The sequence below is a fragment of the Homo sapiens genome, chromosome 4 (genome assembly GCF_000001405.40).
Source record: "Homo sapiens chromosome 4, GRCh38.p14 Primary Assembly".
Taxonomy (NCBI): Eukaryota; Metazoa; Chordata; class Mammalia; order Primates; family Hominidae; genus Homo; species Homo sapiens.
This window is the reverse complement of record NC_000004.12, coordinates 110275912-110299766: the sequence shown is the minus strand read 5'-3', so window position 1 is coordinate 110299766 and position 23855 is coordinate 110275912. Positions and strand designations below refer to the sequence as shown.

Genomic DNA, 23855 nt, shown 5'->3' with positions numbered 1-23855 from the left:
AGTCATCACTGCTCCCTGCCTGGCCTCAGGATCATCTACAAGGCCATCCTCTTTGGTCCATAAAAGAAAATATCCTCCTTGTTGTGTTCTCTTTCTCTCCGTCTTTCCTCCCCTCTCCTCTCCTCTCCTCCTCTCTTCTTCTTCCTCCTTCCTCTTTCTCGTTTTGTTTTTGTTTTTGTTTTTGTTTTTTTGACTACGGTTAGTTGGCAGGGTTTACAACCAGTCAGAAATTTGTGCCTCTAAGAAATCCAGAAGACTGGGTCTTTTCAGCTCCTCTTTTTCTCTCTTTACTCATAGCTCATTGTCCCTCATGACCAGGACTAAGTTTCACTGAATTATCTAAAAATGAAAGAAAAAGATTCAATACTCTATTTCTCTATACCTAATTCAGGAAAAAAAAAATGTGAGGAGAATGCAACCTTTGTTAATAACTTTATCAGGACCTCAAAAACTCTACGCAAAAAAAATAAGATTTCTCTCCACATGTCTATAGCAATTAGAAAACCTTATGTTGGTTGTTTCCTTATTTGGAGACAAATGACAAAATTGAAGAAGCATTAGGTGTCAATGACAAGCCTTTAAGAGAACCCAGGCCATCAGATTCTCTGGCAAGTGTCTAGCCATCCTATTTCTATTGAAACATTTTTATCACATATGCAAACTGTCCATTGAACACTTGGTTCATTGTTCATCTCTAAATATTTACCCAGAAATATAGGTATGTTTCCACTTTTCTTTCACCTTTCTACATCTATATGCAAAGAGCTACCCAGAGCTGTTAAAACCCCACACTGGCATAGCATGTGTATTGTGTTTACTATGAAGACCTCAAGAACCAATTGCATTGACAGCATAGGGGAATGCTGTGCTTGCATGCAAGAGCTATGACAGCAGCTCAAAGACTGAAGTTTCAAATACAATGTTTCCGCCAGGGGTGGTGGCTCATGCCTGTAATCCCAGCACTTTGGGAGGCCAAGGTGGGTGAATCACTTGAGGTCAGGAATTCAAAACCAGCCTGGCCAACATGGTGAAACCCCATCTCTACTAAAAATACAAAAATTAGCTGGGTGTGGTGGTGGATGCCCGTAATCCCAGCTACTCGGGAGGCTGAGGCAGGAGAATGCGTGAACCCAGAAGGCAGAGGTTGCAGTAAGCTGAAATCGTGCCACTGCACTCCGGCCTGGGTGACAGAGCGACACTCCTTCATAAGTAAATACATACATACATACATACATACATACATACATGCATGCATGCATGCATACATACATACATACATGCATACATACAATGTTTCGAGTTAACAGAAAGCTAAGTAAAATGTTTTAAAAAGTAAACAGTCAACCAAGAAGTATGCATCTAGAGACATAACTAAGCCAAAATCTCCCGGTTTATAGAATTCTTTTTGGATACAACCTGTACATTTACAGAAGCTGGGAATATTTGGAGGAACGTTGTTTGCAGCAACCTAAGACCTAGCTTGCTCAGGTATTTGCCGAATATGTGAATGACCTGGGGTCTTTTTTTTAAGCTTCTATCATCTCAGATATCTTACTTGATTTAAAAAAAAAACAGCCTTAATTATCTCCAAAGCCTATTAGGAAAATCAATAGCAATGGTGTGTGCAAATTACACATATGCATGCACACACACACATTTGCAAATACACATACACACATTAAAATTAAGATAAAATAGTTATTATTTCCCAAAAGCTAAACGACACCCTAAAAAAGTCAGACTTATTCTGTTTCATGTATCAGTGATTAAAGCAGTAGTATAATAATGTGTCCCTACTTTTTTTAATTAAAATACATTCTTTTTCTTCTTCAAAACTCAGCTCACAACTTTCTTTTACAAAAACAGCCATATTGTTAAAAGGGCATGGAGAAGTATTCAAAGGCGAAATGTAATTACATCTGCAACTTATTTTCTTTTTTATAATTCTTATTGATATATAACAGCTATACATGTTTGGGGGTACATGTGATATTTTCATACCTGTATACAATGTGTAATGATCAAATCCAGATCATTTGGATATTCATCACCTCAAACATTTATCTTTTCTTTGTGTTGGGAACGTTGCAATTCTTCTCTTTTAGTTATTTTGAAATATACATTATTGTTAACTATAATTTCCCTACTGTGTTATCAAATACTAGAACTTATTCCATCTAACTGTATCTTTGTACACCTTTTCAATTTATTTTCAAATTTGGCAAAATGTTGAAGTTTTGAATCTAAGGGAGGGATGCTCATTCAAAGAGTCGTAACTTGTCTCTGAGTTAAAACACTTCAAAATAAAAAGCTGGTGAGGGGAGGTAGAATATATTCTCTTTCTCTCTCACTTCAGTACTTCCTGAAAGCTGTTCTTTCTCCTGGAAGTCTTTCCCTTCACCCTCTTTGTCCAGAGTTTGTCATCGTGGTAAAGTTTAGAGTTATAGATGCTAATTATGCCATATGCAAGGGATTGTGAGATCTCTCTAGAAACGTATTTCATTTTTCTGAGCCTTGGTTTCCTCTTTTGTAAAATGAGAACCCTAACAGTATTGAGTTCAAAGGTACCTGGTTGGCAACATCTGACTCATAGATTTATTCATTTTGTAACTATGCAAAGTAGCTCAAGTAACCTTTTGGTCTTCATCTTTTTTACTTATAAGCGAGGAAAAATGACACCTCATATAATTGTTGGAAGATGAAAAGAGATGATGATTGTGAAAGTATTCTGCAAACCACAAAGTTCCATTATTGTTTTTCATTATTATTGTTGTTGTTAATTTCTTTTTCATAAGTGTCTAATCATACTAGCTGCATGTTATGAGTTCAGAAATTATAGATAGATTTATAAATTTAAAATTATTAGTAAGAAAACTTTTCTACAGTTAGATTATAACACCTCTCTGTGCCCTTCAGCAAGTGTGTACCATTTGTAAGGTATGAATTCGTTGCTCATAGAACTTTATTTCCCTAGTTATTAATAGCACTTGTTGGAAGGAAATCCAATATGGATCACTTTTGAGTCCCTTACCTCTCTCTTAATCTTGTATAAGACTCCTAGTATTTATACAACTTGGGAAAATTGAGGAAGATCTGGTGTGCGGTCCATATGGTCACTGCTGATGTCTGCGTCTACCTGTCCCAGATGAGAATGCCGGGTTCCCAGGCATCCACACAGTCAACACCATCAGACCAGTGCACCGGTCTCCCCACAGTACCCACCACTCCCTGCCCCTTCAAGCCTTCTAGTTTCTATAAATCCATGTATCTTCCCAAGGTGAGCCCACAACCCTCTTCCCAAAGTAACCCCACATCGCTCTCTTATTCTGGGCAAGCGAATGCTTCCTTTCTCTCTTTCTTCAAAACAATCTCAGTATATCTCAGTGGACATGACACATTCAGAACACAGAGAGCTGGCTTGACATCCAGAAACACAACAGGAGAAATAACTTTCATTCTGTTTTTCCATTCCTGCATGCCAACAATAAATAGTAACAAATTAATACAACAAACAAAACAAAGATAGTAACAAACCAATAACTTATCTGTGACAGTGCAAAAAATCTCATTGATTCTTGCTAGGTCATCAGGATAATCTCTCCTCTGATTCATTGATAAGTTTATGGTATGACTTAAAATAGACTTCTCCTACTGGAGTCTGCAGATATAGTTTCAGGTATCCGTGGTTCTCAGGCTTAAGAAATAGTAACTTAAGGAAAACAAATGATGCCGTAAGCAAACAGAAAACAGCAGAACACTGATAGAAAAACATCTTCCCTCTCCAGAATTTCTATTTCAGAAGTTCAAAAATTAATTTTACTTGGGTGGGGATTATTATATTTGCTATTTTTTAAAATTAGGAGCTAATTTATTTCTCTGGTTTATCAAATGAGTCAAATTTTAAAACATTAAATAAAGAAAAGATAACCAATAAGGAGGGCAACAATGACTTAAAAATAAAAATGAGACAGACAGAGGCAGCTCATTGGAGCAATACACATTTTCATAATGAATTACAAAAAGCAAATGATTTTAAGAAATGTGAAGGGAACATTTGCAGTGCTACAAAATAGAGCCCACGGAGGCATGTGCTGCCCTGCATTTCCAGCCTCTGAGCAGAAGGGAGACAAATCCCAAAGCATGCCCCATTATGTCCCTTCTGGCCACCCTTCTACTGAGAACACTCAGAGCTGATGGTTGAAAGTTTGTGGAGAAATCACTTTCCTTAAAAACAAAGCACAGGTTAAGTAACTTTCTCCCACACAATTTTCTACAAACACACAGCCACTGGGGACATAAAATTCTACACTGCTTGCAGCCACGGAAAGTCACCAGCCATTAAACGCAGGTGTTTCCTGCTTAAACTTCATGATCCAATCAGATCTTGGGGTTCCAGCAGAATATTGCCAATACCTGAAATGTGTCATTTCTAAACTTCATTCCTCTCTATACACTGACCTTTCCAACCTGGCTTGTATTCACGGAGGCACAGAATCATCCCACATGGAAATTGAAGAGATGTGCTGATTCTGGTGGAGCAAGGCTGTCACTCAGTGGAAGTATTTTTTTCTCCAGATTAAAAAGTATTTCTAAGTATTGGAAATTGTCTGTTTCCCTGAATCATTAGAAGCAACCCATAAGGACCCCCATAGTGAAACTATCAGTGGTAGTTTTCCCCTATAGTATTGAGTTGAAAAGAGAGAATTCAAGAATTCTTTCCAGCAATCAAATCTAAAACACCCCTATTGATGCCAAAAAGCCTGCTGTGTGCAAGTTTTAAAATAGCACTTGAAAGGAGGGGTCTTATTCTCACACAGCCACCTCCAACCCCCCAAAAAATGTGATTCTTGGGACACTGAAGCATTCAGGCACCAGACACACAAGAAAACCAGGAACTCTTAAGAGACTTTATTTATTTATTTATTTTTTTGAGATGGAGTTTTTCACTCTTGTCATCCAGGTTAGAGTACAATGGCGCGATCTTGGCTCACTGCAACCTCTGCCTCCCAGGTTCAAGTGATTCTCCTGCCTCAGCCTCCCAAGTAGCTGGGATTATAAGCGTTCGCCACCACGCCCAGCTAATTTTTGTAGTTTTTAGTAGAGACGGGGTTTCGCCATATTAGCCAGGCTGGTCTCGAACTCCTGACCTCAGGTGATCCGCCCGCCTCAGCCTCCTAAACTGGTGGGATTACAGGCATGAGCCACTGCGCCTGGCCTGACTTGTCTTTCAGGAACCAAGTCTACAAAGTGAATTTTGAGATAAAAAGACTAATTGCCTGCAACATGCCAAAAATACAACACATTCAAGGCCTTTTTTCCCCTGTGTTTTAAAAGTGCCTGCATTTTTTGCTCATTATTCACACGTTTAACCAAACATAAAACTGATCTCTCTTTTGCAGGAAGGACATTTGGGCTAAAGGATCTCTTTCAAATCTCCCAGAAGCATGGTCTCTGCTTCCATTAAAATGTAAACATCGCCGGGCGCGGTGACTCATGCCTGTAATCCCAGCAATTTGGGAGTCTGAGACAGGTGGATCACTTGAGGTCAGGAGTTCGAGACCAACCTGGCCAACATGGTGAAACCCCACCTCTACTAAAAATACAAAAATTAGCCAGGTGTGGTGGTACACACCTGTAATCCCAGCTACTCAGGAGGCTGAGGCATGAGAATCACTTCAACCTTGGAGGCGAAGCTTGCAGTGAGCCAAGAACACATCTCTGCACTCCAGCCTGGGCTACAGAGTGAGACCCCATTTCAAAAAAAAGTAAACATGAATTCATTCATCTAGAGATCTCCAAAATCCCTCAGATGATTCCACCCAGAATTTTCTTGGATTTATTCTAAACCCTCCCAGGAAGAACTTCAATCAGAAATCGCAAATGGTGTGCCTGTGCCATGTCCCAAGTGTCTGTGATCCAAAACCTCCTCCAGGTTCTGCTGTCCTTGGGGAGTTTCCCCTTGGCAACTCCCAAGCAGGAGTTGCCTGATGGACCAGAGGAGAAGAGGACCCATCAACCCAAAGCCTTTATCTCTTTCTTCTAACATCTCTTTCTGTTTTCCGCCTTTCCCTTTAGATTTCAAAGGCCACGGTTGGTCTTTGAGGTTCAAAACCAAGCTATATTTACAGTATTTACAAGCAATGCATCCAACAGACTACCTCGAGGCTATGACTCATAAGACAAGGCTTCCTCTCTATAGGAAGCCACTATCCCAGATGCCAAAGAAGCTTGGCTGACACCGTTTCCCAAGGGAACACCTGCTCTCTATCCAAGCCCCACTGCTTTTTGTCCTGGGCCTCGGGCTCTGCCTCCGCCTCTGCCTGGTTAAGCTCGTTCAGGTACAGAAAGACCTGCTTGTTAGGGGCCAGCCGGTTCCTCTTGGTGTTGACCATTTGGCTGCGGAGCCAAAGAGATGCTCCAGCACAACGCAGGTGGCCAAGCACCTTCTAAAACTTGAAGTCCCTCATCTCCTCCACCACCTGGGCATGCCCTTCCTCCTGGTCCTCCAGGCCGCTGGTCTGGCGGCAGATCTCAGCCAGCATGCTGTTGATCATGCAGGAGGGCTGAGGCACCGACGTCCCCGTGAGCTTCTTCACGGGACGTTTTTCCGGCAAAGGGTAGATCTTGCATTGGCCAGCCGGTAGCTGCCGTCTTTGACGTTGTCCAGGAGGCCTTGGCCCCTGACCACAGAGTTCTCCATCTGCTGCCTCTCGAAGACAAGCAGGAAGGGCAGCCTCTTGTAGCGTGGGTCCAGGAAGATGGTGACATTTGGAAACATGCCCATTTCAGGCGTCTCCTAGCAGGTCTTGTAGAGCTCCTTGGCAATCACCCTCTTGGCCATGGGGATCTCCTTGGAGTCAGTCTCCTTGTTGTTGAACGTGGTATTTAGCAGCATGTGAAACAGCAGTTTCACTGTGCTGATGGTGGGATACTTCAAGGCAGACAGTATCTTGGCCACTTGCTTGCAGAGCTGCAGGAATTCCACCAGCCCCTGGATGGTGGACCACTTGGTAGCCTCCAACATCAGGTTGTGATTGTTGCTGTCTTCAGATACACCAGGGATGACGCACTGCTGCTCTTTGAGCGGCTGCAGCATGGCCAGTATGCTTCCCCACCAGGAGATGATTGCTCACCAGCATGCAGTGTCCCTGTTTTGCTGTGTCTGCTTCTCCACAAGAGCATGTCAAAGGCCATGGTGGGCTGCTGGAAGTAGTCCACCGGTGGACAGCACCAAGAGAGCAGGCTCTCCAGTTTAGGGAGCTGGAAAGCCTGCTGATGCCAGCATAGGAGGTCTGCACAAGTAAGGCATTTGAACAGCAATGTTGAGCAAGGGGCACACCTTCATGATGTCCTTGCCATAGTCGGTGGTGGCCCTGCACTCCTTGATGTTGATGCCCCATTTGATGAAGAGCACCGGCATGATGGTTTCCGCTGTGTTCTTTTCGAGCACCTCAAATGTCTTCAGGCACCGGAACCCACATACAGGCTGTCGGGGGAGCTAACACCGAGGAACTGGACAGCCAATATCACCAAGACTCGATTCTGGTTCTCACTCCTCCACTTGCCCCTGGAGATGCCACACCAAAAGGCGTTGGCTGGCTTCTTCAGGATCACCTCTCTGACCCTCCATGCTTCTCAGGGATGGCCTTGGTGGAGATGTACTTCCTGCTCAGGAGCTGGTACCTGGGGTCGGCCAGCACCTTGAAAGTGGGCTCGTCCTCACTGGATATCCTTGCCCCTTGCATATGAGCCCAAGGACGTGGCCATCAGTTCCTGCTACTGCTTGCTCTCATCACTGTGGCCAGCCTTTGTGGCCAGTGGGTCCTGCGACAACTGCTGGGATGACTTGGGCTTCGGTTTGGAGGAGGTGGGAGTGAAGGCTTCCCACATCTGCTGGGTGACTGTAAAACTCTTAGAGGTCATCTCCTTCAGGTGGCAGGACAGGTTGGAGGTGTTTCAGAATAGGTGATCTGCACCAGGCAGATGCAGCAGATTTTATTCCATGGCAAGACTCATGACTTGGTATCGGTGTCCAAGCTGCAATACTTCCACATCTTGCCATGGGTGTAGAGGTGGGCCTGTAACTTCAGGTCTATCTGGGAGATTTCCAGGCCTTTATTCTCTGTTGCTTCTCCACAAGACCCTGCCTGCTGAACTTCCACTCACTCGTGGGGACCCGGCTCTGGGAAGGCACCACCCCTCCTCAGGCAGCTCCTCAGGCAGCTGTGCCACAATCACCAGGGCACCAGCTATGTAGACGTGCAGGGCCATCCCAGGCAGACAGCAAAAACCATCTTTATTATTCTGGACATTTCAATCTATGAACATTGTATGTCTCTCCATGTATTTATTTAATAAATAACCTTATTTTTTTTAATTGACAGAAAAAATTATATGTATCATGTACACCACGATGTTTTGAAGTATATATGCATTATGGAATGAGTAGATCTAGCCAATCAGCATATTTATTACCTCACATAGTTAAGATTTTTGTAGTCAAAAACTAATTTTTCAAATGGCTCTTTGTATTTTTTTATAGTGTTCTTGTTGAAAAGATTTTCAAGTGCCTGGAATTCTCAAAACACTGAATATATTATCTAACAGAGAAAATTGGCACGGAACTTGTCACATCATGAAATTAAAACTGAGATTTCCTTGGGTGCCATGTGTACTTGTCTTGACTCATCACTTTCATAATTTTTGGTACCATTGCCGTTCACTGAATCCTGTTATCCAAGGATTTGGGAATGAAATAGAAGCCTGCTATTGCTCAGTTCCGCACGCTGTGGTTATATTTTCCAAAGTGTTAACAAAAACGTTTCTCAAGAATGATAAAATCAAAACTAAAAGAGAATCTCCCGTTCTCTGGGTTTAGACTATAAATACCTGAGATAATAGCTCTTTGGGGGAAAAGCAGTCATTTTAATATACATAAACAGTCAAAAGCTAAAAGAGAGGGTAAAACTCATTTAGTTCAATTCATGTATTACAAAGAAGAAAAAAAGACCCAAAGATGTTATTTGTCTGAGATCACCCATTACAGTGGCTATTATTAAATTATCTGGTTCCATACAAAAACATTTCCCATAAATACTCTCTAGTATGAGTGGCCTTGTTCACTATCATCTTAGTCTTAACAATACAAGTATTTTCTATTTTTTTGGTTGCTTTTACTTTAGAAAAAAAAAAAGCAGGGAAGAGCCCTGACCATTTGAGAATCTATTAAATGTATTAATAGTTTCTATTTTTTTTATTTGGCTGCTTTATTTTAGCTAAGGCTTATCTTACTTCATTTTATCTACAAGTAAGGCAACTGTGACTGGATTGACCCTGTTGGGTGGGCTGAACTACTACTCCATACTCAGAGTGAAATAAAATCACAGCACTTTATTGCAACCCTACTCCAAAATGCACTGTCAGTTAATGTAGTTTTCTTAAATACATCTTTAAATGTATCTCCTCTCTAGTTCTTAGTTTTTCTCTCATAATTCAGTCTTCAGATTTTTCTTCTCTTTGTATCCACATCTGGCATCTCTGTGTTAGTTACTAAGCTATTGTCTCTCAGCTTCAAACCTTCTCTTCTAGCTCTGTGATGCTGGGACTAGGATTCTGCAAACACTTTTCTCCTTTACCATCTGTTTTCCTGTTAAGTTCTTCTGGTAGAAGAAACTAGAGGGAGACAAGAAAGCAGGAGGAGGGAGAAGGAATTCACAATTTTCTATTTGCTTTCTATTATTCTCTGGTCACCACAGAAATGCATCCTCACCCCAGAAGCACAGCTGGTTGCAGAAGCAAATGATTCCAGATTCTAGCTTTTTTCCACCTATTAGAACTAGCCTCATAATGATACCTATCACAAGCCAAGAGATAACAGCACAAGCCAAGCAGCTCTAACAGTGCCTCTCCTTCAAGCGCATAAGCTTTTGAGAACCCCAGTCTTTTCTCTTGGTTCTACCACTACTATGGAATGCAAGCTGCTTCCTGCAGTTACTCTCTGTGTTATCTGAATTCCCTCCAATACCCTTTTAACCAGTTCCACCCCCCAGCCTTTTTTTTCTGAGATGGAGTTTCACTCTGTCACTCAGGCTGGAGTGCAGTGGCAGGATCTTGGCTCACTGCAACCTCCACCTCCCAGATTCAAGCGATTCTCCTGCCTCAGCCTCCCAAGTAGCTGGGATTACAGGCACCCACCACCACTCCAGGCATTTTTTTTTTTTTGTATTTTTAGTAGAGATGGAGTTCACCATGCTGGCCAGGCTAGTTTCAAACTCCTGACCTCAAGTGATCTGCCCGCCTCATCGTCCCAAAGTGCTAGGATTACAGGCGTAGCCACTGCACCTGGCTCAATTCCCTATGTTAAACTTCCTTGTTAAAATAATTGTTATGGTTTCTCCTTTCCTTATTGGACCCTGAGTAACACATACTCTACATCCATTCTATTGATTCAGGTCTTTTCCTCACCTCTCTCTTGCCTTCCAAACCCCACTTAGTAAAATGTTAAAGGAAGCATTCGCCCATGATTCTTTTTTCTCCTACCCTGAAGTTTGCTTGTACACCCATAATTCTTCAAGCATGTCCTTGTGAGCTTCAATTCACCCTGTTCCATCCCTTTTTTCTTTCCGTGTTAAATGATGAAGAGAAAAATCCTGCTCAAAGAGAGTAAGTTCAAGATAGTCTTGGTTCTAAAAAGAGAAGCTGAAAACCTGCTATCTTTTGATTGGCTGTCAAGACTCTTCATCAAAGCAGATGTCCCAGACTAATTTCAACAATTCTTCATCTTAAATTCAAGACTTTAAAAAACCTTCACAGACTTGCAGAAGCCTTTCATCTGAGGAACTCAGAAAATCACAGATTGAACATCCCCCATAAAGAAGAAAGGGAAATAAGTCCAAAATGTAGCCCAGACTATGACATTCTTTGAGGACAATTCTGTATGAACTAAAACTGCAGCCTGTGGACAACTGCTTGAGCCCAGGAGTTTGAGACCAGCCTGGGCAACATAGTTGGACCCCGTCTCTACAAAAAATTAAAAATTTAAAGATTAGTTGGGTGCGGTGGTGCACATCTGTAGTCCCAGCTACTCAGGAGGCTGAAGCAGGAGGATTGCTTAAGCCTGAGAGGTCAAGCCTGCAGTGAGCTATGATCTCGCCACTGTACTCCAGCCTGGGTAACAGAGCGATGTTCCTTTAATTCCAGAGAAGTTGCTAATTTTCTGTAAAAACTCCTTTATGAGAAATGATATTCATGTGGAAAGAATATTCTCTTTATACCCTGATGTGTTATTAATTTCACATCTCTGGGATAAAGCCAGATCATCAGAAAGATTTATGCTTAGAATATCCTCTACATCCCCGGCTACTCTTACTGATATAAGCTCTGATATAATGCTTTAGCTTTTGAAAAATCACCTGATCAGAAAATTTGATTAACATTCTCTTATATAAAACAATTTGACTAGGCTGGGCGCGGTGGCTCACGCCTGTAATCACAGCACTTTGGGAGGCCGAGGCAGGTGGATCACTTGAGGTCAGGAGTTCAAGACCAGGCCTGGCATGGTGGCTCATGCCTATAATCCCAGCACTTTGAGAGGCCAAGGCGGGTAGAAAACCTGAGGTCAGGAGTTCAAGACCAGCCTGGCCAACATGGTGAAACCCCGTCTCTACTCAAAATGCAAAAATTAGCCAGGCGTGGTAAGCAGGCACCTGTAATCCCAGCTACTCAGGATATTGAGGCAGGAGAATCGCTTGAACCCTTGAACCTGGGAGGTCGCAGTGAGCCGAAATCACGCCACTGCACTCCAGCCTGGGTGACAGAGCAAGACTTCCTTCTCAAAAAAAAAATAAAAAAAAAAGAATGTTCAGAGAAAGACTTACTGATCCTGAATGCTGGCTCCCCAAATTATCACTATGACAACCTGTCGAAAAGACAAAGCTGAGCTTATATTGATCTTGGGAAGGGAGTACTCCCTCCACAGAATCTTAGAGCATCTCAGAAGAGGGAGAACAAAGTCAGGATATTTACTGGGACTCTAAGTCAGTTTAAGACAGATCTTATCCGATATCAGTGCTTAATTAACACTCTGTAAGGATTATGACTTAATAGTTTAAGATTCGTGGTCACAGCAAAGTGAAGATGTAAAGGCAAGGTTTTCAAAGAGTCTTGGGTTCAAGCAGTCTTGGGGTTTCAACTGTAGTTTTGATATGGCTCCCATGACTGGAGGAACAAATTGATGCTTTTCATGAAGAGTTGATGGCCTTTTGGGACATTGCTGAAATGAATGATAATGTTATTCACAACTTTTATCTTCTTCAGCAAGAGTTTCCTAGAATAGTAAAGCTATGTTGATGAAACCTAGAATAACAAAGGCCTGTAAATATACACAGTAAGCTATGTGGGTGTATACAGTTTCGGTTCTCACTGACAAAACGAAATTTGAGCTCATTCTCAAAGGAGTGAGGGAATGAGTCATGCCAACATTTGAAAGCAGAGTTCCAAGCCAGGCCCAAGTCCAACTTTTGCAGGGCCTGTGGCAAGGTTATAGATGAATGCCTACTATATGCCCAAATATTTAAGTGTTGGAAATCAAGTTAGCAAACCTTTTTTTCTTAGAGATGGGGTCTCACTATGTTGACCAGGCTGGTCTCGAACTCCTGGCCTCAAAGAATCCTCCCATCTCAGCCTCACAAATGCTGGGATTACAGGCATGAGCCACTGTGCCTGGCCTAGTAAACTCTTAAATAAAATGTTAGCCAGGTGGGGTGGCATGCGCCTCTAGTGCCCCCTACTCCAGAAGCTAAGGCAGGAGGATCCCTTGGGCCCAGAAGTTCGAGGCTACAGTAAGCTATGTTCGTTCCACTGCACTCCAGCCAGGATGACAGAGCAAAACTCCGACTCTAAAACAAAGCAAAACAAAACAAAACAAAACAAAATGCCCAATCAACACCCTCCAATAAAACAAAATAAACTGGTTACTTTAAAAATAAATAAATAAATAAAATGTTTTAGGTGCCTACCTTGATAAATATAACTTTATAGTGACTAAGTAAAAAAACATGTAAAGTTATGCTTTTTATGTGCCTGAAAAACATCAAAGACAACTAATATATTCACACGTGTGTATATCTGAGTATTCTATTGATGTGTAGTTGAATAATAAAATAAGGACACATACACCATATAAATCATTTTATAGTATACTTATTTCATAAAATTTTATTTCTTTGCCTTCATTTGAGGAAAATCATGAATTCAATTGTTATAATAAAGATTTTCACATATTTTGTTTTTATATTGACAACAGTGATCTAAAGATACACTGTCCTATACGGTACACACTGAGCATTTGAAGTGTGAGGCCTGTCCAAACTGAGATGTATTATGAGTGTAAAATACATACTTATTCCAAGGCTTAATATTTTTAAAAAAGTAAACTATCTCATTAATAATTTTATACTGAATACATATTTAAATGGTAATGATTTTAATATACTAGTAAATAGAATATATTATTAAAATTAATTTTACTTTTTTTACTTCTTTCATGTGACTATTAGAACATTTAGAATTACAATGTGGCTCACGTTTGTGACTCATGTTATATTTCTTTTTTTTCAGCTTTATTGAGGTATAATTGACAAAGAAAAATTATATCTATTTAACGTGTTCAACTTGTTGATTTGATGTACATATACTTTGTGTAATAATTACCAAAATCAAATTAATTAACACATCCATCACCATATATATGTACTCTGTGTGTGTGTGTGTGTGTGTGATAAGAACACTTAAGGCATACTCTCTGGCAAATTTTAAGTAAACAATACAGTATTATTAACTGTAGCTATCATGCTGTACAATAGATCCCCAAAATTTACTCATGTTATAAATGAAAGTTTGTAACCTTTGACCAACATCTCCCATTTCCCCCACCCCACAACAGCTGGTAGTCACTGCTCTACTCTCTTCTTCAATGAGTTGGACTTTTTTAGATTCTGCATATAAATGAGATCATACAATATTTGAGTCTGAGTCTGGCTTGTTTCACTTAACATAATGTCCTCCAAGTTCATTCATGTTGTCAAAAATGGCAGGATTTACTCCTTTTTAAGCCTGACTAATATTTCACAGTGTATGTGTGTGTGTGTGTGTGATTTTCTTTATCCATTTAACTGCCAATTAACACTTAGATTGTTTCCATATCTATTGTGAATTATACTGAAATGAACAAGCAGGTGCAGATATCACTTCGAGATACTGATTTTATTTCCTTTTTGTCTGTTTTTTTAGGGATGAGGTCTCTCTCTTTCACCCAGGTTGGAGTGCAGTGGCACAATCATAGCTCACTACAGCCTCAAACTCCTGGGCTCAAGTGATCCTCATGCCTCAGCCTTCCAAAGTGCTGAGATTAGAGGAATAAGCCACCATGCCTTGCCTCTATTTTTAATTTTTTCAGAACTCTCCATAGTTTTTTGCCTAATGGCTATACCAATTTACATTCCTATCAACAGTGGACAAAGGTTTCCTTTTCTCCACACCTTCATCAACACTTGTTGCCTCTCACCTTTTTGATAATAGCTATCCTAAACAGGTGTGAGGTGATGTCTCATTGTGGTTTTGATTTGCATTTTCCTGATGATTAGTGACGTTGAGCACCTTTTCATAAGTTGTCCATTCGTATGTTTTCCTTGGAAAAATGTATTTTAGGTCCTTTGCCCATCTTTTAATCAGCTTTTTTGGGTTTTTGTTTTGTTTTGTTGCTATTGAGTTGTATGAATTTCTTATATATTTCGGATATTAGCCAGATTAATGGTTTGCAAATATTTTCTCTCAGTCTGTAGATTATCTTTTCATTTGGTTATTTTCTTTGCTGTGTAGAAGCTTTTCAGTTTGATGTAGCTCCATGTGTTTTTGTTGTTATTGTTGTTGTTGTTTGGGGGGTTTTGTTGAGAAGGAGTTTCACTCTTGTTGCCTAGGCTGGAGTGCAATGGCACAGTCTTGGCTCACTGCAACCTCTACCTCCAGGGTTCAAGCAATCCCCACACCTCTGCCTCTCGAGTAGCTGGGACTATAGGTGCCTACCACCACATCTGGTTAATTTTTTTTTTTTGTAGAGATAGCAGTCTCACTATGTTGCCCAGGCTGGTCTCAAACTCCTGGGCTCAAGTGATCCTCTCACCTCAGCCTTCCTAAGTCCCAGGATTACAGGCATGAGTCACTGCACCTGGCTAAATTTTTAATTACATGAAATTGTAATTATTAAAATTAATTAATTTTAATGTTTTAAATTTTAAATTAAATTTTTTTAATTTTAAAAAATTTGGGCTACCCTCTTTGGGTCCCCTCCCTTTGTATGGGAGCTCTGTTTCCACTCTATTAAATCTTGCAACTGCACTCACTTCTGGTCCGTGTTTGTTATGGCTCAAGCTGAGCTTTTGCTCGCCGTCCACCACTGCTGTTTGCCACCTTTGCAGACCCACCGCTGACTTCCATCCCTCCGAATCCGGCAGGGTGTCTGCTGTGCTCCTGAGCCAGCGAGGTGCCCATTGCCACTCCTGATCAGGCTAGAGGCTTGCCATTGTTGCTGCATGGCTAAGTGCCTGGGTTCGTCCTAATCGAGCTGAACACTAGTCACTGGGTTCCACGGTTCTCTTCCATGACCCACGGCTTCTAATAGAGCTATAACACTCACCACGTGGCCCCAGATTCTATTCCTTGGAATCGGTAAGGCCAAGAACCCCAGGTCAGAGAACACGAGGCTTGCCGCCACCTTGGAAGCGGCCTGCCACCATCTTGGGAGCTCTAGGAGCAAGGACCCCCCAGTAACATTTTGGTGACCACAAAGGGACCTCCAAAAGCGATGGGAAACGTTCCCCCCGAGGCAAAAATGCCCCTAAGATGTATTCTGGAGAATTGGGACCAATTTGACCCTCAGACGCTAAGAAAGAAATGACTTATATTCTTCTGCAGTACCGCCTGGCCACGATATCCTCTTCAAGGGGGAGAAACCTGGCCTCCTGAGGGAAGTATAAATTATAATACCATCTTACAGCTAGAACTCTTTTGTAGAAAAGAAGGCAAATGGAGTGAAGTGCCATATGTACAAAATTTCTTTTCATTAAGAGACAACTTGCAATTTTGTAAGAAGTGTGATTTATGCCCTACAGGAAGCCCTCAGAGCCTACCTCCCTACCCCAGCGTCTCTCCGACTCCTTCTCCAACTAATAAGGACCCCCCTTCAACCCAAATGGTCCAAAAAGAGATAGACAAAGGGGTAGACAATGAACCAAAGAGTGCCAAAATTCCCCGATTATGCCCCCTCCAAGCAGTGGGAGGAGGAGAATTTGGCCCAGCCAGAGTGCATGTACCTTTTTCTCTCTCAGACTTAAAGCAAATTAAAATAGACCTAGGTAAATTCTCAGATAACCCTGATGGCTATATTGATGTTTTACAAGGGTTAGGACAATCCTTTGATCCGACATGGAGAGATACAATGTTACTGCTAAATCAGACACTAACCCTGAATGAGAGAAGTGCCGCCATAACTGCAGCCCGAGAGTTTGGCGATCTCTGGTATCTCAGTCAGGTCAATGATAGGATGACAAGAGAGGAAAGAGAATAATTCCCCACAGGCCGGCAGGCAGTTCCCAATGTAGACCCTCACTGGGACACAGAATCAGAACATGGAGATTGGTGCCACAGACATTTGCTAACTTGTGTGCTAGAAGGACTAAGGAAAACTAGGAAGAAGCCTGTGAATTATTGAATGATGTCCACTACAACACAGGGAAAGGAAGAAAATCCTACTGCCTTTCTAGAGAGACTAAGGGAGGCATTGAGGAAGCATACCTCCCTGCCACCTGACTCTATTGAAGGCCAACTAATCTTAAAAGATAAGTTTATCACTCAGTCAGCTGCAGACATTAGAAAAAAACTTCAAAAGTCCGTCTTAGGCTCGGAACAAAACTTAGAAACCCTATTGAACTTGGCAACCTCGGTTTTTTATAATAGAGATCAGGAGGAGCAGGCAGAATGGGACAAACGGGATTAAAAAAAAAAGGCCACCGCTTTAGTCATGGCCCTCAGGCAAGCGGACTATGGAGGCTCTGGAAAAGGGAAAAGCTGAGAAAATTGAATGCCTAATAGGGTTTGCTTCCAGTGCGGTCTACAAGGACACTTTAAAAAAGATTGTCCAAGTAGAAGTAAGCCACCCCTTGTCCATGCCCCTTATGGCATGGGAATCACTGGAAGGCCCACTGCCCCAGGGGATGAAGGTCCTCTGAGTCAGAAGCCACTAACCAGATGATCCAGCAGCAGGACTGAGGGTGCCCGGGGCAAGCGCCAGCCCATGCCATCACCCTCACAGAGCCCCGGGTATGCTTGACCATTGAAGGCCAGGAGGTTAACTGTCTCTGGGACACTGGTGTAGCCTTCTCAGTCTTACTTTCCTGTCCCAGACAACTGTCCTCCAGATCTGTCACTATCCGAGGGGTCCTAGGACAGCCAGTCACTAGATACTTCTCCCAGCCACTAAGTTGTGAGTGGGGAGCTTTACTCTTTTCACATGCTTTTCTAATTATGCCTGAAAGCCCCACTCCCTTGTTAGGGAGACACATTCTAGCAAAAGCAGGGGCCATTATACAACTGAACATAGGAGAAGGAACACCTGTTTGTTGTCCCCTGCTTGAGGAAGGAATTAATCCTGAAGTCTGGGCAACAGAAGGACAATATGGACCAGCAAAGAATGCCCATCCTGTTCAAGTTAAACTAAAGGATTCCGCCTTCTTTCCCTACCGAAGGCAGTACCCCCTTAGACCGGAGGCCCAACAAGGACTCCAAAAGATTGTTAAGGACCTAAAAGCCTAAGGCCTAGTAAAACCATGCAATAGCCCCTGCAATACTCCAATTTTAGGAGTACAGAAACCCAACGGACAGTGGAGGTTAGTGCAAGATCTCAGGATTATCAATGAGGCCGTTGTCCCTCTATACCCAGCTGTACCTAACCCTTATACTCTGCTTTCTCAAATACCAGAGGAAGCAGAATGGTTTACAGTCCTGGATATTAAGGATGCCTTTTTCTGCATCCCTGTACATCCTGACTCTCAATTCTTGTTTGCCTTTGAAGATCCTTCGAATGCAACATCTCAACTCACCTGGACTTTTTTACCCCAAGGGTTCAGGGATAGCCCCCATCTATTTGGCCAGGCATTAGCCCAAGACTTGAGCCAATTCTCATACCTGGACACTCTTCTCCTTTGGTATGTGGATGATTTACTTTTAGCTTCCTGTTCAGAAACCTTGTGCCATCAAGCCACCCAAGCACTCTTAAATTTCCTCGCTACCTGTGGCTACAAGGTTTCCAAACCAAAGACCCAGCTCTGCTCACAGCAGTTTAAATACTTGGGGCTAAAATTATCCAAAGGCACCAGGGCCCTCAGTGAGGAACATATCAAGCCTATACTGGCTTATCCTCATCCCCAAATCCTAAAGCAACTAAGAGAGTTCCTTGGCATAACAGGTTTCTGCTGAATATGGATTCCCAGGTATGGCAAAATAGCCAGACCATTATATACGCTAATTAAGGAAACTCAGAAAGCCAATACCCATTTAGTAAGATGGATACCTGAAGCAGAAGCAGCTTTCCAGGCCCTAAAGAGGGCCCTAACCCAAGCCCCAGTGTTAAGCTTGCCAACAGGGCAAGACTTTACTTCGTATGTCACAGAAAAAACAGGAAATAGCTCTAGGAGTCCTTACACAAGTCTGAGGGATGAGCTTGCAACCCATGGCATACCTGAGTAAGGAAATTGATGTAGTGGCAAAGGGTTGGCCTCATTGTTTATGGGTAGTGGCGGCAGTAGCAGTCTTAGCATCTGAAGCAGTTAAAATGATACAGGGAAGAGATCTTACTGTGTGGACATCTCATGATGTGAATGGCATACTCACTGCTAAAGGAGACTTGTGGCTGTCAGACAACCATTTACTTAAATATCAGGCTGTATTACTTGAAGGGCCAGTGCAGCAACTGCGCAGTTGTGCAGCTCTTAACCCAGCCACATTTCTTCCAGACAATGAAGATAGAACATAACTGCCAACAAGTAATTTCTCAAACCTAGGCCGCTCGAGGGAACCTTTTAGAGGTTCCCTTAACTGATCCCGACCTCAACTTGTATACTGATGGAAGTTCCTTTGTAGAAAAAGGACTTTGAAAAGTGGGGTATGCAGTGCTCAGTGATAATGGAATACTTGAAAATAATCCCCTCACTCCAGGAACCAGCGCTCAGCTGGCAGAACTAATAGCCCTCACTCGGGCACTAGAATTAGGAGAAGGAAAAAGGGTAAATACACATACAGATTCTAAGTATGTTTACCTAGTCCTCCGTGCCCACGCAGCAATATGGAGAGAAAGGGAATGCTTAACTTCTGAGGGAACACCTATCAAACATCAGGAAGTTATTAGGAGATTATTATTGGCTATACAGAAACCTAAAGAGGTGGCAGTCTTACACTGCTGGGGTGGTCAGAAAGAAAAGGAAAGGGAAATAAAAGGGAACTGCCAAGCGGATATTGAAGCCAAAAGAGCCGCAAGGCAGGACCCTCCATTAGAAATGCTTATAGAAGGACCCCTAGTATGGGGTAATCCCCTCCGGGAAACCAAGCCCCAATACTTAGAAAAAGAAATAGAATGGGGAACCTCACGAGGACATAGTTTCCTCCCCTCAGGATGGCTAGCCACCGAAGAAGGAAAAATACTTTTGCCTGCAGCTAACCAATGGAAATTACTTAAAACCCTTCACCAAACCTTTCACTTAGACATTGATAGCACCCATCAGATGGCCAAATCATTATTTACTGGACCAGGCCTTTTCAAAACTATCAAGCAGCTAGTCAGGGCCTGTGAAGTGTGCCGAAGAAATAATCCCATGCCTTATCACCAAGCTCCTTCAGGAGAACAAAGAACAGGCCATTACCCAGGAGAAGACTGGCAACTAGATTTTACCCACATGCCCAAATCTCAGGGATTTCAGTATCTACTAGTTTGGGTAGATACTTTCACTGGTTGGGCAGAGACCTTCCCCTGTAAGACAGAAAAGTCCCAAGAGGTAATAAAGGCATTAGTTCATGAAATAATTCCCAGATTCAGACTTCCCTGAGGCTTACAGAGTGACAATGGCCCTGCTTTCAAGGCTACAGTAACCCAGGAGTATCCCAGGTGTTAGGTATACAATATCACTTACACTGCGCCTGGAGGCAGTCCTCAGGGAAGGCCGAGAAACTGAATGAAACACTCAAACGACATCTAAAAAAAGCTAACCCAGGAAAACCACCTCACATGGCCTGCTCTGTTGCCTATAGCCTTACTAAGAATCCAAAACTCTCCCCAAAAAGCAGGACTTAGCCCATACGAAATGCTATATGGATAGCCCTTCCTAACCAATGACCTTGTGCTTGACTGAGAGAGAGCCAACTTAGTTGCAGACATCACCTCCTTATCCAAATATCAACAAGTTCTTAAAACATTACAAGGAGCCTGTCCCCGAGAAGAGGGGAAGGAACTATTCCACCCTGGTGACATGGTATTAGTCAAGTCCCTTCCCTCTAATTCTCATTGCCTAGATATATCCTGGGAAGGACCCTACCCAGTCATTTTATCTACCCCAACCGCAGTAAAAGTGGCTGGAGTGGAGTCTTGGATACATCACACTCGAGTCAAACCCTGGATACTACCAAAGGAACCTGAAAATCCAGGAAACAACGCTAGCAATTCCTTTGAACCTCTAGAGGATCTGCGCCTGCTCTTCAAGCGACAACCGGGAGGAAAGTAACTAAAATCATAAATCCCATGGCCCTCCCTTATCATATTTTTCTCTTTACTGTTCTCTTACCCTCCTTCACTTGCAACTACTACTGCAACTGCAAAAAAAAAAAAATTTAAATTAAGAAGAATTAGTTTTAATTCTTATTAAATTTCTAAGAAAAACATATTCACAATTCCAGATTTCAATGTCCATCTCAGCAGTTTTACTTCCTACCACAGACTATCATTTTTCTTTCCCTTCATCAACATGAAGATCACTTTGTGATTCCTTCAATATGAGCTGGTATTATTTATTCCAACCCTGTGTAATGTCTTTTTTGCTCATTTTACTTTATAGACATTTCTCCCTCTAAAGTCTGAAATAATTTTCTATTAAATAAGTCGAATGACCTCTTTGTGGCTTTCTTACCACTCCACCTTTCTGCAGCATTCAGCTGAGTTAAACTCACTCCTTTGAAAATATCTCCCCAATCTATGACACTCTGATGTCCTCATTTTCTTCCTACCACTAGCCCCCAATCTTCAGACAACCCTCTAAAATTGGCATTTGATGAAGTTCCCCTAAGTCCTTTTAAAACCTCACTGTCCTTCTGGAGAAGGTTTCAGCTGCTGTTTATTTGCAGTGACTCACAACCTGTATCTCACTAACAAGTTCCAAATACAACTTTATTTTTCTTCACAAATTTGTGTGTCATTCCTGTGCAGGGGCCATGCCAATTTTCTTTGTATCGTTCCAACTTTAGTATATGCACTGCTGAAGTGAGCACCCAAATATAAATTTTTAACTCAACATTACCAATCCGTTCTTGCTTCTGAAAAACCAGCTCTCTTTCCTATATTCTCTGTCTAACTAAACTAATGGCAAAAGAATCCTTTCAGTGACTCAGGCTGGAGGCAGGTGGAACACCTGCCTTTCCCTTACTTCCCATATCTAATCAATAGTCTCACCCTGTCGATCCTATCTACCCAGTGATACTGGACTCCTTTGCATTCATTCCCAGGGCTCTTGTTCGGTTTCTCCTAAATGGGCTATCGCTTTTTAATCTTGGTCAATTTGATAGGATAAAAAATGGTATCTCTTCATTGTTTTAATTTTAACTTCCTGACTTGCTAGTTATATGTTGTAACCTATCTCATTTCTTCTCTGCCCAGTTTTACTCTAGTTTTTGCTGTGATATCCAGAATTTAAGTAAGTGTAATCTGACAGCACCTTGCCTTGCCTGCTTTGGAGCTTCCCTGGTGTCACGTAAAGAGATGCCTGTGGGAAGCTGCAGGCCACTGATACGTGTACAAAACTGGAATTGCAAGGTATTAATCCCCATAAGAAAACCTTTAAGAAGTGGGCACAAAGGGGGTTAAGTGTTTTCTTTTTTTAAGACAGGGTGTCACTCTGTTTCCCAGGCTGAAATGCAGTGGGGTGGTCATAGCTCACTGCAGCCTCAAACCGTTATCCTCAAGCAATCCTTCCACCTCAGCCTCCTGCGCATGTGGGACTATAGGCACGCATAGCCATGCCCAGCCAACTTGATAAGTGTTTTCATAACCTTCCCTCAACAAACAATATTAAGGTGCCTTTTCACCTATATTGTCTAAAATGGTAGCTACTTGACACAGATAGCCACTGAGCACTTGAAATGTAAATAGTCCAAGTTCACTATGTTATAAATATAACATAAACACCAGATTCCAAAGACAATATTAAACAAAAAAGATTTTCTCCTCATCACAGTAGAGCTTTCCTACCTGCCTATTTAGAAATGGCTACTTCTTCCTTAATGGGCCCAATACATGCTTAACAAATCTTAATTGTGTTGACTTACTCTTCAAGTTTGCAAAATTATTTCTGTGCATAGAGCTTATTAAAAGTATTCTCGGCCGGGCACAGTTGCTCATGCCTGTAATCCCAGCACTTTGGGAGGCCAAGCCGGGTGGATCCCTAAGATCAGGAGTTCAAGACCAGCCTGGCCAACATGGTGAAACCCCATCTCTACTAAAAATACAAAAAATTAGCCGGGCGTGGTGGTGGGTGCTGTAATCCCAACTACTCAGGAGGCTGAAGCAGGAAAATCGCTTAAACCTGGGAGGTGGAGTTTGTAGCGAGCCGAGATCACGCCATTGCACTCCAGCTTGGTCAACAAGAGCGAAACTCCATCTCAAAAAAAAAAAAAAAATGTTCTCCTAGCCTCAAAATGGATTATGCATACTTTTTCTGCATTCTCATAGGTATCAACCAATTATATAACTTTTCAGGCCATTATATTAAAATATTAGCTGAAAACAAATGCTTACTTCTCAACAATACGCTCTGCAGTCCCTTCTTGAGCTGCACGAATGGCTGTGAGTCATCAGCCTTGCCTGTATTCATGTTTTTTGCATCTCAGTTTTATTGAGCAGCTAGTAACTAGTGTAGGTGCATAAGGCATAGTAAAATCTGTAGAACATGTTTGTGTCCTAAAGAAGCTACAATCTAGGCAGACAGTGATGGGCTTAAAGAACTGGGCTAGCGGAGTATACGAAGACCTTGGTGAGGGCTTTGTTCGGTTATCTCTTCCTCTGAGAAAAGACCTGTACCTTGTATTTAAACAAACAAACAAACAAACAAAACCTGCTAACAGGTACATGATTCTTGCCCTCTTGACCCAGTAGTAGGCCTTAGAGGGGGAAAGTGCTCACGACCAGAAAATAATTCCCTGGGAGAGATGCTTGTGAGTATGCTATTGCTCTTATAGCTGCCACCTTCCATGCTGAAGAGCTGCAGATGTTTGCTGGCTTGTGTAGATCTCTTGATAATATGTAGTTTATATCTAGAAATGCTAATTGTCCTAAGGCACCCTGAATTCATCTCTTAAACACAGTGAGAGGATGAGTAATGAGTAAAGTACTTACCACAGTCCTGCATTCTAAAACTTTCCTGTACATTCAACCCTAAAACAATTCTGATTACAACTGCCAACACAAACATTTACACATAACTTCTAATTGTACTTCCACCAAGTTTACAAAGCATCTTAAATTCATCTTGTTATACCCTAAAGCTTTT

The 23855-nt window shown here is 42.0% G+C and overlaps 2 pseudogenes, besides 1 other annotated feature; both read right to left on the bottom strand.

Annotated features, from left to right (window-relative positions):
- On the bottom strand, positions 6107–22498 carry ZBED1P1 (zinc finger BED-type containing 1 pseudogene 1; annotated as a pseudogene).
- Positions 12408–12497: an enhancer, noted in NCBI's record as "active region_21816". NCBI's record gives its function as "activates an Ori minimal core promoter by ATAC-STARR-seq in GM12878 lymphoblastoid cells {active_cell/tissue: GM12878}" and the evidence as "EXISTENCE:reporter gene assay evidence [ECO:0000049][PMID:35858748]".
- RNU6-205P (RNA, U6 small nuclear 205, pseudogene) lies at positions 21476–21582 on the bottom strand (annotated as a pseudogene).